Raw genomic sequence first — 17,696 nt, 5'->3', positions numbered from 1 at the left:
ATTGGAATAAGGTTGAAAGATTCAAAATGGGACCACAATAGGGAGGAAAGGGCCATATATAACTAATAGCCAATTCTAGAAAATTGCATAGTTATATGTCTAACATTGTATTTCTCAAATGCAATGAAAAGATTTTAATTCTGAGACCAAATATGTCCTGCAACCCATGTTGTCTGTTACTCTGCCTGTGATGACAATGGAAACCTGTGATGCTGGTAGACATCATTGTCACCACAAGTATAGAAGGTACCTCAGAATAACACCAATGGAGCCCAGACATGGAGAGACACAGTCCTAGTGACAACATTTACTCTCCTGGATCCAGCCATCCCTGAAGCTAGAATGCCCCCTTAATGTTTCCCTTTGCATAAGAAAGTAAGATGCCTTACTTGGCTTAAGTTGATTTTCTGTAATGTGCAAGCAAAAACATCTGACAAATAGAATCTTATAATACTGAAACAAAAATAATCAAAACAAAAATACTGAAACTAGAAAAAAAAAATCACCCATAGGAACCAAAAAGAAGGCAATGTACCCTAATGTCATTTTTTTAAGTGACAGCTAAAGAAAGAAATAGAAACCTTTATCTCTACCAAGGATTAAAGAAGTTATGATAAAAGGATAAGGGTGAATTCAGAATGAGTTTAAATTTGGAATTAAAGCAAAACAATTTTAGAATAACAGGTACAGAACAGAATGCAATGCTATAGAATTGCATGTGACAATAATAATGTAACCATCAAAAAGCGGAAGATGAGAGAGAACTCAAAGGATAAATGAATGATTAATAGTGCCTAAAATGTAAAGATATTGCTTAAAAAACAATGACTTCAACTTATATAACTGATTCCAAATCTTTTTCTTTTTCTTTTTTTAAATAAATGGCTACCACTTCTTGAGTGCTTGTGAAGTGTCAGGTGTTTTTTATTTTTTATTTTATTTTATTTTTTATTTTTTTTTTATTTTTATTTATTTATTTATTTTGAGACGGAGTCTCGCTCTGTCACCCAAGCTGGAGTGCAGTGGCGCGATCTCCTCTCACTGCAAGCTCCGCCTCCCGAGTTCACGCCATTCTCCTGCCTCCGCCTCCCGAGTAGCTGGGACTACAGGCGCCCGCCACCACGCCCGGCTAATTTTTTTTTTTTTTTTTTTTTTTTTTTTTTTTTTATTTTTAGTAGAGACAGGGTTTCACTGTGTTAGCCAGGATGGTCTCGGTTTCCTGACCTCGTGATCCGCCTGTCTCGGCCTCCCAAAGTGCTGGGATTACAGGCATGAGACGGAATCTCGCTCTGTCGCCCAGGCTGGAGTTCAGTGGCGCGATCTCGGCTCACTGCAAGCTCCGCCTCCGGGGTTCACGCCATTCTCCTGCCTCCGCCTCCCGAGTAGCTGGGACTACAGGCGCCCGCCACCACGCCCGGCTAATTTTTTTTTTTTTTTTTTTTTTTTTTTTTTATTTTTAGTAGAGACAGGGTTTCACTGTGTTAGCCAGGATGGTCTCGGTTTCCTGACCTCGTGATCCGCCTGTCTCGGCCTCCCAAAGTGCTGGGATTACAGGCATGAGACGGAATCTCGCTCTGTCGCCCAGGCTGGAGTTCAGTGGCGCGATCTCGGCTCACTGCAAGCTCCGCCTCCGGGGTTCACGCCATTCTCCTGCCTCAGCCTCCTGAGTAGCTGGGACTACAGGCGCCCGCCACCACGCCCGGCTAATTTTTTTTTTGTTTGTTTTTAGTAGAGATGGGGTTTCACCGTGTTAGCCAGGATGGCCTCGATCTCCTGACCTCGTGATCCGCCCGTCTTGCTCTCCCAAAGTGCTGGGATTACAGGCGTGAGCCACCGCGCTCGGCCCCAAATCTTTTTTTCTTAATGTACAGATGTTTTTAAGAAAAAAAAAATGGGAAGAATTATTCTGAAGTTCAGCAATTCCTTTGCTTTCCTTTTTTTTTTTTTTTTTTTTTTTTTCTAGTTATTTTAAGTAAAAGTTGGCCAGGTGTGGTGGCTCACATCTGTAATCCCAGCACTTTGGGAGGCTGAGGCAGGTAAATCATTTGAGGTCAGGAGTTTGAGACCAGCCTGGCCAACATAGTGAAACCCATCTTTACTGAAAATACAAAAATTAGCCAGGTGTGGTGACATGCACCTGTAATCCCAGCTACTTGGGAGGCTGAGGCAGAAGAATGGCTTGAACCCAGAAAGCGGAGGCTGCAGTGAACTGAGATGGTGCCACTCCACTCCAGCCTGGGCGACATAGCTAGACCAGTCTCAAAAATAAAATAAAATAATAAAAAAAAATTTAAAAAACTTGACAGAGCAGTTTCAAAGAAGTGACAGGAGGAAAGTCCAAGTTGCAATGGTTGGAAACAGTAAAAGTGAAGTTAAAGTAAGCATGCCTAGGATAGGAATTTGACTACTAGAAATGGAAATATTGCTTCAACCAGACAAGAGTTCATTTTTCTCACATAACATGACATGTAGAGATAGATATCCCAGGGCCTGTGGTAATAAATCTAGGCTATCTAAGCTGACATTAGACATCAATATTGTACTCCTTCTACCCTGTCACCTCATTTTTAGCACCAGGCTTCAATTCTCAAGGATGCCTCATGATCACATGATGGTTGCTAGTTCCAGCCATCACTTTCTACATTCCAAATAAGGAAAAAATGCAAAAGGAGGGAGACAGCAAAAGGCAGCTACCAGCTGAGTAATCATTTTTAAGATAGCTTTCCCAGAAGCAACACTAGTGATTTGGATTTGTTTCTCATCGGCCTCATCTCTCTGCAAAGGATGTGAGAAAATGTACTTGGGCATACCTCTCTCTACAAAACCAGAAATCTAGGGAGAAAAGGGAGAGTTTTATTACAGAATGTGGCCATTCCTGCTGCAGCCTGTTTTCAAGCTAGTGGTAAATAATCCTGCAGAGGTCAGGCACGGTGGCTCACTCTGGTCATTCCAGCACTTTGGGAGGCTGAAGCGGATGGATCACTTGAGGTCAGGAGTTCCAGACCAGCTTGGCCAACATGGTGAAACGCTGTCTCTACAGAAAAATATATAAATTAGCTGGGTGTGGTGGTGCGTGCCTGTAATCTCAGCTACTTGGGAGACTGAGGTGGGACAATCTCTTGAACCTGGGAGGTTGAAGCTGCAGTGAGCCGAGATCGCACCACTGCACTCCAGCTTGGGTGACAGAGTGAGATCTTGTCTCAAAAATAATAATAATAATTTTAAAAATGGCCAGGTGTGGTGGCTTATGCCTGTAATCCCAGCAATTTAGGAGGCCTAGGGGGGCAGATCACCTGAGGTCAGGAGTTCCAGACCAGCTTGGCCAACATGATGAAACTCCATCTCTACTAAAACTACAAAATTAACCAGGCATGGTGGTGCACACCTGTAATTCCAGCTAGTTGGGAGGCTGAGGCAGGAGAATCACTTGAACCTGGGAGGTAGAGGTTGCAGTGAGCCAAGATCATGCCACTGCACTCCAGCCTGGGTGACAAGAGTGAAACTCGGTCTAAAAAAAAATCCTGCAGAAAGGGATAGACTGCATTGGGGGCTATGCCAGGGTGGCAGAGGGAGAGAATAATATCTTTACATACTTTTAATGAGGTATGCTTCTCTTCTCCCACTAGCTCAGTGACATTCATTGGGGGGTCAGGCCCAGACTAACAACACATGGGGTCAGTTGAAGTGGTGAATGATGATTTTTCTTTTTAACATGACTTTCATGTTGATCTTACACCAAAGTGCTTTTAAACTAGCAAAAGCTTAGAACTAGTTGAGGGAAAAGTATTGCTCTCAAAACTAAGCGGGCTTTGATAGGAAGATGAAGACAGAGGTTGGATACCTAGGCAAAGAGTCTGTCTCAGTTAACATTGGAATAAGGAAGGCTGCAGGATAGCTCCTAACACTGGCGAAAGGAATTAACACTGCCCACGCCTTTTTGTTTGCTTGTTTCAGTTTCTTATTTTGCTGTAGTTAAGAGCCTGGAAAGAGAAAAAAAAATCAGATACTGCTGATTGTTTCAGCAGGTTGGGGGAAAAGGAGAGACCGTGGTTGATAATCCAGGCTGATGGATGTGAGGGGTAGGAAAGAAATCTCCATCATATGTATGAGAATCCAAAGGCAGAAAGCTGTTTCCATTTGGAATCCTAAGGCGAGGCAGCTTCCCAGACTGCCTGCCCAACACGGAGCAGCTCCAGAAGAACAGGATGGGGCGGGGGCCAAGCGCAGAAGGGCTGGGAGGTCCCCACCCCAGGCCCCCTCATTTCCAGTGAGGCCTGCAGAAGACCCAGAAAATTTCTCATAGGCCCTGAGGAGGAAAAGAACAGAAAATTAGTAAGTTGTATGCCTGCCGAGGGTCACCAAAGTGTGGGGCCAGGAGACCCCGTAGCAGAGGCACAGGAAGGACAGCCCAAAGCTGAGAGCCAGTGGAGGAGTCTTCCAAGTCCCGGGGAATCAGCGGAACTAGGGGGAAACCGATGGGGAAATGGCAGAGCTCCCGACAACCAAGGGCAGGGCAGACCTGTGCTGAGAGAGCAGGCGTGGGGGAGCTTGGGCACAGTGACTATAGTGGGAAACCCGCACACCAACAGAATGAGGCATTTCCCAGAAGCCAGCCTCTGGAGACCATGTGGGGTTTAGGGGACTAGCGCTTCCCTCGACGCCATGCTGGTTTTGTCCACACGGCTACAGGGCACCCGGGGAGGCCACAGAAGCAAATTCAACTGGTTGGAAAATTCTCAAAAGATACTTTTCCCTTCTTCCTTCCTTCCTTCTTTCCTTCCTTCCTTCCCTCCCTCCCTCCTTTCTTCCTTTCTTTCTTTCGAGATGGGGTCTCACTATGTTGCCCAGACTGGTCTCTAGCTCATGGACTCAAGTGATCCTCCCGCCTTGGCCTCCCCAATGTGCTAGGATTACAGGTGTGAGCCACTGTGCCCAGCAAAAGAGACCTTTTTTAAAACAGAAAAAAAAAAAAAAAGGCAGGTGCAGTGGCTCACGCCTGTAATTCCAGCACTTTTGGAGGCCAGGGCGGGCAGATCACCTGAAGTCAGGAGCTCGAATCCAGGCTGGCCAACATGGTGAAACCCTGTCTGTAATAAAAACACAAAATTAGTTGGGTGTGGTGGCATGCGCCTGTAATCCCAGACCTTTGGGAGGCTGAGACAGGAGAATCGCTTGAACCCAGGTGGCAGATTGAAGTGAGCTGAGATGGCGCCACTGCACTCCAGCCTGGGTGACAGAGCTAGACTCTTTCTCAAAAAAATAAATAAATAAAACAGAAAAAAAATGTTTGAAGAGAAATTGTTTTTTGAGCAAACTGAGGTTTTGTTTGTTTTTGAGACGGAATTTCGTTCTTGTCGCCCAGGCTGGAGTGCAGTGGTACGACCTCAGCTCACTGCAACCTCCTCCTCCTGGGTTCAAGCAATACTCCTGCCTCAGCCTCTTCCCGGAGTAGATGGGACTACAGGCATGCACCACCACGCCCAGCTAATTTTTGTGTTTTTAGTAGAGATGGGGTTTCACTATGTTGGCCAGGCTGGTCTCGAACTCCTGACCTCAGTTGATCCTCCTGCCTCGGCTTCCCAAAGTGCTGGATTACAGGCGTGAGCCATTGCGCCTGGCCAGGTTTTTCTCTTTCAAGCTGAGCTGTCCAGTATGGTAGCTGCTAGCCACAGGTGGTCCATTGGGTGGCTAGTCTGAATGGAGATGTCTGCCAGTGTAATATAAACATGGGTTTTCAAAGACTCAGTCCAAAAAATATATATCTAAATTATCTCTTTAATCATGTGGTATATGAATTACATAATTAAACAATGTAGTTTTGACATATGGATGAAATAAAATACATTATTTAAATTAATTTCACCTGTTTCTTTTTACTTTTTTTAATGTGGCTGAAAAATATATGGTTCACATTTGTGGCTCATTATATATTTTATTGGACAGCACCACTTTAGAGATAGAAAGCAAGCTGTATTTCTGCAGGTATTCATCCTGAATCGAGGATCAAATATAGGTGTGAAAACTTTCAGATCTGTTAGGTATCTATTGATGTGTAAAACAAGTTGATTTAAGTCAACATTTATTATCTCGTAGGTCTGTGTGCCAGGAATCTGGGTGCCACTTAGGCGGGCCTGCTGGCTCAGGGTCTCTCACAGGCTGAAATCAAGGTGTCACCTGAGGCTACCATCATCTCAAGGCTTAACTGGCAAAGGATGTACATTCAGCCACCCTAGATGGTTGTTGGCAGGACGCAAACTCCTCGTGGGCTATTGAATTGAGGACCTCTGTTTATTGTTCTTGTCAGCCCAAGGCTGCCCTGAGTTCCTTGCCATAAGGACCTCTCCATAAGGCAGCTTGCAACATGGGAGGTGCTTCATCAGAGCCAGCTGGTGACAGAGTACAAGCAAGATGAAAGTGACAGTCTTCTATAACCTGATCTTGGAAGTGACAGCCTATCATTTTTGCCATATTCTTCTCATTAGAAGCAAGTCAATAGTCCCACACTCTAAGTAAGGAGATTGCAGAAGGGCATAAATAGGAGGAGATGGGGATTGCTGAAGGCCAATTCAGAAGCTGCCTGCCTAGAACCAAGGAGTATACGAAGCATGCACAAGATGGTTCATCCTGGCAGAGGAGGAACAGTTCTTCCCTCATAACCGAGCTGGAGAGGCACACGTGGCAGAAGGTAGAGGTAGACTGTTGTAGTTGGTGGTGACAAGTTATAGGACCAAAGCTGATGACCTATTTGTTTATCTCCTTGAAGAAGGAGGCAAGATTGTCTGCTGAAGGAAAGGATATGTGTGGTTTGAGGGCAAGAAGAAAGTTCGGGAAAGACCACCTACTAGAGAAACACAATCCAACTACCAGGCAATGACAAATGGAAGTTCAAAATTACCAAAAGTTAAAAAGCAGTCAGCTCAGTTGTGTGATTTTCTCCACCAACTTTCAGCTGCCAGGGTACTAGCTCAAAGTGGCAAAACAAATATGCCAGCTCTAGGGTAGGAAAAAATTTTTTATCCACATGTGAGTGCAGCCAAGAAACAGTAGTGTGAATTATACTGGTTTATATTTCTCTCCATTTAATTCTTCCAACCCAGCCTGCTCAGCAGGCCTCTTTCCACTGAGCAGCCAACAAATTAAATAGCCTGGTGTGTGAGCTTTTGATACAGCTCTCTTGGACCTGGAGTGCATGCTAATAACCAGCTTTATTCCTGTCTGTCCCCTGCATAGTGGCTCAGTGGGCAAAACTCTCCAGGACTTCAAAGGAGATCTGTGACATGGAACAGACCCAGGAGCCTTGTCTGCACATTACAGCTAAATATTGATGATAGTGACCTCCAAAATACCACTAGATCTTCCGTACTAAAACTGCTGTTTAAATCTAGCTAACATTTACGATAGAAAACATACAACACTTATGAAACAGTAGGCTCCAGTACACCTTTTAAGACACCCAGAAGTTGGTTGTTTGGTTGATTGATCAGTTGGTCGGTTGGTTGGTTAGGTTTAAAGTCATAGAAAAAACAAGCCACACAAAGATGCAAAAGCACATCCCTTCCCACGAAATGCACATGCTTGCTAGGAAGAGCATTTCATCCTCATTTGCCTGAGACTGTAGTGAAGACCCATCAGTCCCAGGCAAACCCAGATGTTTAATCATCCTGATTTACCCATGATCCCTCTCAGAAGTGGTCCAGGAGCAAAGCTGCAGCAGAGAGAATTCGTAAGACTGATCTTGCAGCAATTTCTCCTGGTTCTCTGAACAACACTGATCATGGTTCTTTCCTGGCAGCTCTGGTCCCTTAGACGAGGCTGACAGTTTCCTAGAAAGAAACAATCCCTCAGGTCATTACCGTTTTCATTTCAGAGTTAATCAAATTCATCAAAAAAGATTTACCAGATGGTTATTATTTGCAAAATACAGTGACAAATGTGGCTGGAGACATGAAAGTATTAAAAAACTATTCCTGCCCTCAAAAAAAAAAAACTAATTTAATTGTGAATACAACACAAAAATCTGCAGGATGAAAAAAGCCTAAGTAATAATAAAACTGACACAGAGGGCAAGCGTTTAAAAAATCGCAACTCAGAATATGATTAATTGCAAATATATCCTTGGAAAAAGAGTGGCTTTTAGACTCAGAAAATTCATTTTGTTTTGTTTTTTTAACAAAATAAAGGTAGCTTTTGTAATGACCTGCTACCATTGGTTGAACAAAGCAGAGGAGAGGAATAGTTGTCACTTCAGACAACTTTTTTTTTTTCCGAGTTAGAGTCTCACTCTATTGCCCAGGCTGGAGTGCAGTGGCACAATCTCAGCTCACTGCAACCTCTACCTCCTGGGTTCAAGCAATTCTCCTGCCTCAGCCTCCTGAGTAGCTGGGATTACAGGCGTGTGCCACGACGCCAGCTAATTTTTGTATTTTTGATAGAGACAGGACTTCACCATGTTTGCCAGGCTGGTCTTGAACTCCTGACCTCAAGTGATTCACCCGCCTCAGCCTCCCAAAGTGCTGGGATTACAGGCATGAGCCACCGCACCCAGCCACTTCAGACAACTTTTTAAGCTTGAAAACTATGAACACAGCCTTTAAAGTGAGACACACTGGGTCCCAACATCATCGCTGTCACCAAGTAAGGGTTGGGAAACTCACCAATGCATTTTTTTCTCACCTGAAAAATTGGGATAATCTACCTCCATCATAGAGTTGGTGAGAGAATTCCTTGAAATAAGCTGCAAATTATTATTATCAGGTGTCCAATAAATAGTTTCTGTCATGATTTGTGTAAGTATTAAAAGGAAAATGGCAATTATCACTTCATCTTCCCTCCACATTTTTCAATTGCTTTCATCTGAAAAGTCTGGTGCAATTCAAATTGCATATTAAGTCACGAGTGCTGCTTCATTGCCTCTGTGGATTTAAAAGATACAGAGGACTCTCACATGTTCTTGTCTGAATGCACTTTCATTCAAAATGCTTTACATTTTGAAATTGTCAAATTCAGGTCATTTGTGATGCAAAAATTAGTATGGCTGGCAATGCACTTAAACTTATGCTTACAACCTTGTCTTACCTTTTTTCCTATCATATTAGTTATCTATTGCTACATAACACATTTCTTCAAATGTGGCAGCTTAAACCAACACATGTTTATTATCTCATAGCTTCTGTAAGTCAGGGAGCTGGGAAGGGTGTAACTGCATCTTCCACTGCGGGGTCTCTCCGCAGGCTGCAATCAAGGTGTGAGCTGGGCTGTAGCCATCTTATGGCTCAACTGGGGAAGACTTGCTTCCAAGCTCATGAGACTGTTTTCAGGATTCAGTTCCTCTCAGACAGTTGAACTTATAGTCTCAGTTCCTTGCTGCTGTTGGCTGGCAGCCACCCTCAGAAGTTCCTTGTCATGTTGGCTTCTTCATCATGGCAGCTTGCTTCCTCAAAGTCTTCAAGCCAAGAAGGCAATAAAGAGAGTCCATCAGCAAAAAGGAAGTCACAGTCTTTTGTAAGCTAATCCTTGAAGCTTGAAAACTGTGGCATCCCTTCAGCTTAGCTGGAGTTGGTTGGTTACAAGCAGGTCACTAGGCTTAACCCATGTTCAAGGGGAGAGAATAGCACATGGCCATCAAACCAGGCAGTGGTGTTCATCATGGGCCATCTGAGAAGCCTGCCTACCACAGCTGTCTCTTAGAGGATCTTGGTCACGACTTGTCTACAACAAAGATGAATAAAACAAATAACACTGGAAGACAAATCAATGCCACCAAATGCTCAGGGTCCTAGAAACAACAGGGGCAGAGCCACATGTCTTCCTGCTGAGGCAGCTGCCTCAATGGTTTTTTTTTGGCGGGGGGGTGCGGAGACATAGTTTTATACTGTCGCCCACGCTGGAGTGCAGTGGCATGATCTCAGCTCACTACAACCTCTGCCTCCCAGGTTCAAGCGATTCTCATGCCTCAGCCTCGTGAGTAGCTGGGATTAGAGCCATGTGCCACCACACCTGGCTAATTTTTGTATTTTTAGTAGAGACAGGGTTTCATACCATGTTGGCCAGGCTGGTCTCAAACTCCTGACCTCAAGTTATCCACCCGCCTCGGCCTCCCAAAGTGCTGGAATTCCAGGCATAAACCACTGCACCCAGCTGGATTTTTAGTATTAATCAGAACTAAACAATCTTGGTATGTCCTGCAACACAACCTGTCTGCTTCTTTACAATTGTATGACCTACCCTCCAGTGGAATCTGAGTAAAGTTGAATTTGACTACATTGAACCTTAATAACTTGAGGAGTACAAGAATGACTGTCAGAAGTATCCATGAGCAAAAGAAAAAAAGAAAAAAACACAGTGCTGAAGACTTTTGGAAACTAGCCCCAAATCACAGAAAGTGAGTAAAATTAGGCCATGTGTTTTTGGCCAAAGGATTTGGCTTTTTGGATCTCAGTTTCCTTTTGGAAACATGAATGTTACACCAGATAATCTCTCAGACTTCTTCCATCTCGAGAGTGACCCCAAGATTTTACAACCAATTGTTAGTGAAAACGCTGCTGTGTGCTAAGGCACTTTCCCTAAATCCAAAAGCCTTCCACCAAAGAAAGGACAGCCCCAGGAGTGATCATGAAGGGTGGCTGCAATGAATGCCACAATGAATGGTTTTCACAAGCCGCATCTGCAAAGCAGAACTTAATTTTCTCCCATTTTTGCCAGGCAGGAAGCTAGTGAAAATTAGCAAAGCTTTTGAAAGGTTGAGTGACCATCTGGTGACAACAGTGCCACATCAGACACTGAGAAAGGCTCAAGTGGAGGAGGGAACAGAGAAAAAAGCCTGTAGATATTTCTAAGTGGAAAGTGGCCCTGAGCCAGGCATCCTCTGCCCTCTCTCAAAAGGCCTTGCAGAGTGGCATTAGCCCCTCATGGGTGCACAATGAATACTCATTGGCTGAACAAAGAAAACTTGGTATTTGAAAGTTTTATGGGGTTTTTTGTTGTTGTTTTCAGTAAGCTTGATATGAGATCTGTTGTCTTTCAGGTGCGAATTCACAGAAATCAAGGATGTAAGATGAAGGTATGTCTTCCAACATACGGCAACATCCAGTTGATTCACTGAACTGAGAAATGGGTGTATACCTGTAAAAGAAAGGAAGAGCTAGCTTCAGTATGCAGCCTAGTGAAACTGGAATCAGAACAGAATGAATACGATGAACTGGAAATGTCATGTTATTGAGCTACAGTCTCTAGAACAGAGACAGTGGCATCAGTTGGAGTCCTTAATATTTGAGGTTTCTTGGCTAAACTAACTTCCCCCAGAGAGGGCTAAGACGGAGGGCTAAGACGGGTAATACCATGTCTGCCTGTGACTCTCCTTTTAGTCAAGCTTCTGAGTGGGCTCCACCTCCATTCAGGATGATGGTAGTAACACAGCTAATGAAAGACAGTTTTCACTGGGTTAGAAAGTCCTAACGGCCATTTTTTTTCTTTCTTGAGAGTTCTGTGTAATTTTTTCTTTTTGAAGAGTTCTGTGTTTTTTCAGAGTTCTGATCTCATATGAAATGATTTCAAAGTTTAGCTCTCAGTGGGAAATAATTTGTCCACATTCCAGGGAAACAGGAGAAAGCCCCTTAGTTCTAAGAGTAGTACTGACAGTCATCACCTACAGTCAAATGATATTTTGGGCAAGTCTGCATTCTTTTATGAGCCACAAAACCATATAGCAGGAACTAAGATGCAGAGACCCTGTAATAAATACATTCCTTCCACCAGCTCTTAGACATCGTTCATAAATTGTTCCATTTGACAGTGAACAGGGAAAATGGATGAGAAACGTGGCCTCAAGCATATAATGTATATGTGGTCAAAGAGTCATGACCCATGTGGCCACATTACCAGATTATATCTTATTCTCACTTTCTCTACAATAGGATAAGCACCAACAGGATAGAAATACACTCTTCTCTCCAATTTAATTATACCTTTATTATTACTTTTCTTATATGCACACAAGCAGCAACAGCTAATGTAAAGTGGAAATTGTAATACAATTTCCATACTGTGTCTTTGTTGACTACAAAATTATATAAAAAATGTGTCTCACCCTTTAGTTGGGACCATTTAGAAGCCTGAGGGCAATTACACAGAGTGTATTGGAGTTAGCCGCACAATCTCCTAATGGCAGCTTGGCCCAAAGCCAAGCTTTAAGCCAAACCTCAGGGAATTCAAATTTAAAAGTCAGCTACATTAGTGGTAGTGATTCAGTTTGGAGAAGATATCGCTTTTCGTGATTTATTACAGCCAGTGCTTTCAGTACATTTAAAAGATGGTCTAGCTTAGTTGCATTTTCAAAGGAGCGCTACTGCATAAAATGAGGAACATCTGAACTGAAAGCTATCAGAATGGAAAAGCTTGACTAGGGCTTGAATTATGTGGAAAGCGTAATTCTTAGAAATAGGTCCTCAAACACACAAGAATCTGCAAAAATGAGCTATACTTTCAACCCCCCAATATCTAACCCTCGTGATCATTTGGTAGAGAAGGGTCTGTTACTGTCAAGTATTTTTAAATGACTGCAAAGACATTAATTCCCTAGGTGCAGAATAATCATTCAGTATCAAGAATAAACATATAATTTAAAATATTAGTCTTGCTGGTGCTTGTGATCTATGACTAAGCTGTACTTTCAAAGAGAATTCCAAATCTCTCCTCTCTGCAACCCAAGAGAATCTGCACAAAGACTTGTGACCTTATGAATTTTCACAGGTTTTCCCCAGTGGATGTCTTTGGCGTCTGCTATCTCTACTGCGGATACACCGGTGAGTCAGTAAATCTTTTCAAAATAGTTCTGTTCTTTCATACTCAGTTCAGATTTGGGGGAAAAAAAGTAGGAGCGACAGTTCTATTTAGAACAAAGCAGCTTAGAAAAAATACGTTAGTCTTATAAAAATAAATCTATCTATACGTGTATTCTTGTCAGAAGAAAACAACATCATAAACTACAAGTCCATTTCCCACTAGTGTCTTCATTTCCATGTTTTATTGCATTCCACAGTGGTTTTGCAACCAGCCATATCAAGAGTTTCCAAGAAAAATGTAAACAAGGATTTTGCAGTGACTCCAGCTAGAACACATGAATATGACTGAGAACAGAATATCTCTACTTACTTTAGTCAATTTTGTAGTAACTAAATAAGTAAGATGAAAAAAAGTAACTTCAAAAAAAAACGATCTCTACTGAGCTATCTGGAGACAAAACATCGTGCTACATTCCAAATCACCAAGGGCCTTCCGGCACACACATCAGAAAGTGAAATATATCTGCCTCGAAGGAACTGGGCAGAGATGCTTCTACCTTTAGGAAAACAACCCCATTTTCATAATAAGCCTATAAATCATATAGTTATTACCTGGTGCCTATTTGTAATGGGAAACATCGTGAGATAGTATCGACGTATTTTTTTTCTGGGATCTGTGGCTCTAAAGCCCTTTCCCCAGCTCAGGCCACTTCCACTGCCTCAAGAAAGGAATAACTCAAAGGACAAGATCATCAACTCCACTCATTTATTCACTTTTTTTTTTTAACGAACATTTATTGACCCCATGTATGTGCAAGAAACTGTTCTAAGTGCTGAAAATAAAGCAGTGAATAAATTAGACCCAGTCTTTATCTTTATTGACTTTTGTATTCTAGTAGGGAGAAGTCAATGAACAAATAACTAGAAAATTAAAAAAATTTAAAGTACCAGTTGATGAAAATGCTGTGGAGAACAATCAGACCAGATCATGGGGCCAGGCATGGTGGCTCACACCTGTAATCCCAGCACTTTGAGAGGCCCAGGTGGGTAGATCATGTAAGGTCACAAGTTCAAGACCAGCATGGCCAACATGGAGGAATCCCTGTCTCTACTAAAAATACAAAAATTAGCCAGGCATGGTGGCGAGTGCCTGTAATCTCAGCTACTTGAGAGGCTGAGGCAGGGGAATCGCTTGAACCCGGGAGGCAGAGGTTGCAGTGAGCCAAGATCACACCACTGCACTCTAGCCTGGGCGACAAAGCAAGAGTCCATCTCAAAAAATAAAAATTTCTTTAAAAAAAGATAATGGCATAAAGAACAGAGGGACAGGAGGCAGGCTGCTACCCTCAGCGTTTGAGTTTAAAAAGCCTAGGTGGGCCCCAGCCTAAAAACACTGGGAAGTAATTTTCATATCAGGCAGAGGTTCTTTTTTCTCTCCTGAAGATGAGATGAAGTTTGCTTCAATTAGAAGAAAGAGGGGAAAGAAAGATTCAGAGGAGACGAGGACAATTCAGAGCTGATGGGTGACTAAGAAGAAGCCCTAAGCCCCAGCCGCTCTCCTTCCAATCCCAAAAGAGCACTGATAGGCTTGAAACCTACACCCTCTTCCTGGAAGGACCCATACACATCCTGGGAAAGCCATAAGATCCCAAAGCCGGCCGGGCGCAGGGGCTCACACCTGTAATCCCAGCACTTTGGAAGGCTGAGGCAGGCAGATCACCTGAGGTCAGGAGTTCAAGACCAGCTTGGCAAACATGGTAAAACTCTCTCTCTACAAAAATACAAAAAATTAGCTGGGCATGATGATGGGTGCCTGTAATCCCAGCTACTGGAGAGTCTGAGGCAGGAGAATCGCTTGAACCCAGGAGGTGGAGGTTGCAGAGAGCCAAGATCACACCACTGCACTCCAGCCTGGATGACAGAGCAAGACCCAGTCTTGGGCACGGTCAAAGACTTCATGAGTAAAACACCGAAAGCAATGGCAACAAAAGCCAAAATTGACAGATGGGATCTAATGAAACTAAAGAGCTTCTGCACAGCAAAAGAAACTACCATCAGAGTGAACAGGCAACCTACAGAATGGGAGAAAATTTTTGCAAACTATCTGTCTGACAAAGGGCTAATATCCAGACTCTACAAATAACTTAAATTTACAAGAAAAAAACAACCCAATCAAAAAGTGGGCAAAGGATATGAACAGAAACTTCTCAAAAGAAGACATTTATGCAGCCAATAAACATATGAAAAAAAGCTCATCATTGCTGGTCATTAGAGAAATGCAAAGCAAAACCACAATGAGATACCATCTCATGCCAGTTAAAATGGCGATCTTTAAAAAGTCAGGAAACAACAGATGCTGGAGAGCATGTGGAGAAATAGGAACGCTTTTACACTGTTGGTGGGAATGTAAATTAGTTCAACCATTGTAGAAGATGGTGTGGTGATTCCTTAAGGATCTGGAACTAGAAATACAATTTGACCCAGCAATCCCATTACTGGATATATACCCAAAGGATTATAAATCATTCTACTATAAAGACACATGCACATGTATGTTTATTGTGGCACTATTCACAATAGCAAAGACTTAGAACCAACCCAAATGCCCATCAATGTTAGACTGGATAAAGAAAATGCGGCACAGATACACCATGGAATACTATGCAGCCATAAAAAAGGATGAGTACATGTCTTTTGCAGGGACATGGATGAAGCTGGAAACCATCATTCTCAGCAAACTAACACAGGAACAGAAAACCAAACACCGCATGTTCTCACTCATAAGTGGGAGTTGAACAATGAGAACATATGGACACAGGGTGTGGGGGCAGCATCACACACTGGGGCCTGTCAGGGGTGGGGGGCTGGGGGAGGGATAGCATTAGGAGAAATACCTAATGTAAATGACAGGTTGATAGGTGCAGCAAACCACCATGGCACGTGTATACCTGTGTAACAAACCTCCACATTCTGCACATGTATCCCAGAACTTAAAGTAAAAAAAAAAAAAAAAAAAACCTTTGTTTACATTTAAAAAAAAATCCCAGTGACTCAGCACAGTGAGCGAGGAGCACAATAGGGTGGTTACCCAGACAGGACGTCCATCTAGGAGCCCTGCGGGAGGCATGCAGGTATTTCTCTGGAGGTCATGCCTGGCAGGCGTCCACTGTTAGAGCCAGAGGACCCGGAGCATTATCTGAATGAACTAATGACCAACAGGCGGGCAGAAATGAGTGCTGCGGATTGATAACAGGGACAGCCAGACCCCCTCCCATCCCCACGAGGCAGAGGCACCAGGTAAAGCTCCTTGGAAATGAGGCTGGACCCCATTAAAAATGAGGAGGGTGGGTGGGGACTAAATTAACTTAAAGGTTTTGCTGCCTGGTAAAATGAAGGTATGTAATAGGAATTAAATTCCATTATTGGAAAATAAATTAAGTTACATTTCCTGCACTCGGGAATCTGTGGCTTTTGATTTGCACTCACATGGTCTTGCAGGGGGAGGGAGAGGGAGAGGAAGGGAGGGAGGGAGGAGAAAGAGAGAGCATGTTCAGATTTATTTCCAAGGCCAGAGACTACAAAAGAAGGGTGGATGGAGAAGAGATGGTGAGGGAGACTTTCCTCTCAGGAAGTCTGTCCCAGGGGGCAAAACAGCTTCACTCCTACACAAAGCCATATCCAAGTTGGAGCTCCCACACTAGGCTCCCTTCCTTTAGGGAGCTGGGAGATGGGGGTTAGCCGACATTTCACAGCTGCAAGTTGATGGAGTAGCCCATTACAAAATTAAATCAAACTCAACCTACCACTCACCTGAAATGCCTATGGTTCAAAGTAATAAGATTCATGAGACTTCTCTAAAAGTGGATTATTATGATCAGAAAGAATATGATCCACATTGTATGGTTTTTAGGCACCATGATATGCCCCCATTATAACATTGGAGAGAATAAAATATAGGAGACAGATGTAAACAAATAATAACAGGATGAGAAACAGTCAATCTAACACAGTTGATTGAAAGTGCTTATTAGATGTTTGTGCTCACAACCAAAAATAACACCAGGTGCAAATTTTTTTTAATTAAAGAAAAAACCCTCAGATAAAGATTTTTAAGCCAAGACCTAGGAAACAGTTTTTGTTTATGAGCCCCTGAGTGATGGGGAAGCTATGCTGTTAATTACTTTAATTTTGGTGCTAACTTTTGTTGCGAATCCTTGGCATAGAGCATGGTTCAGAAGAAAGGGGTAAATTAGGTAAAGAAAACAGGACGAGGGCATTGCAAGGTGATGTTTAAGAGGCTAAACAGTAGTAGCAAATATTCAGGGCATAGTCTGCTAGGCATTGCAAATACTAGACAATTTAAATAGCAGCGCAGTTTTGATCCCTGACGTCATCCATTGTTAAAGTCTATGAATAAACTCTGAGACACAAGATGTTAGCTTGGGACCTGCCTATGGTCCTGTCAGCCACCTCTTCCTACATCACAACACAAATTCCCGGTTAGTGACTCCCAGGGTCCCTCTGGTTCTCGCATTTAAACAGGCTGATGCAGAGCTCTGAGGACCAGAGAAGGCTTGGGGTTGATTCACAGTAGAGAATAAGCACCAGACACAAACTAGACTCTGCATTTTCTTCTTCCTGCTGTAACAGAAAGAAGAAGAAAACAGTGAAGTTGTCTAAATCCTGAGAGAATCAACTTCTAGAAAAATGGTCAGAGATCAGCAGTTTAGCAGGGAGGGGGAATTGCAAATCAGCAGGATTCTGTCTCACAAGCAAAATTAAATTAAAATTCATTGTCAAGGAGTAAGCCCAACATTTGACTCACATATAAATAGTCATAGTCAGGAGACAACCGGACCCTGGGCACCATCTCAAAATCTTTTGGTAGACTTTGGTTAAAGACTCCTCTCCCATTCT

General features: G+C 43.0%; 1 long non-coding RNA gene across 1 annotated transcript; it reads left to right on the top strand.

The window, feature by feature from the left end:
- Positions 1-4,223: 4,223 nt before the first annotated feature.
- LINC02111 (long intergenic non-protein coding RNA 2111) lies at positions 4,224-12,628 on the top strand. The gene is made up of 3 exons (NR_033975.1): positions 4,224-4,332; positions 6,094-6,691; positions 11,024-12,628. It is a non-coding gene; the product is annotated as a long intergenic non-protein coding RNA 2111 (long non-coding RNA).
- Positions 12,629-17,696: the final 5,068 nt, after the last annotated feature.

Source organism: Homo sapiens, chromosome 5 (genome assembly GCF_000001405.40).
Source record: "Homo sapiens chromosome 5, GRCh38.p14 Primary Assembly".
NCBI classification, from domain to species: Eukaryota; Metazoa; Chordata; class Mammalia; order Primates; family Hominidae; genus Homo; species Homo sapiens.
Note: the sequence above shows the minus strand (reverse complement) of the source record. Positions and strands in the feature narration are given on the sequence as shown.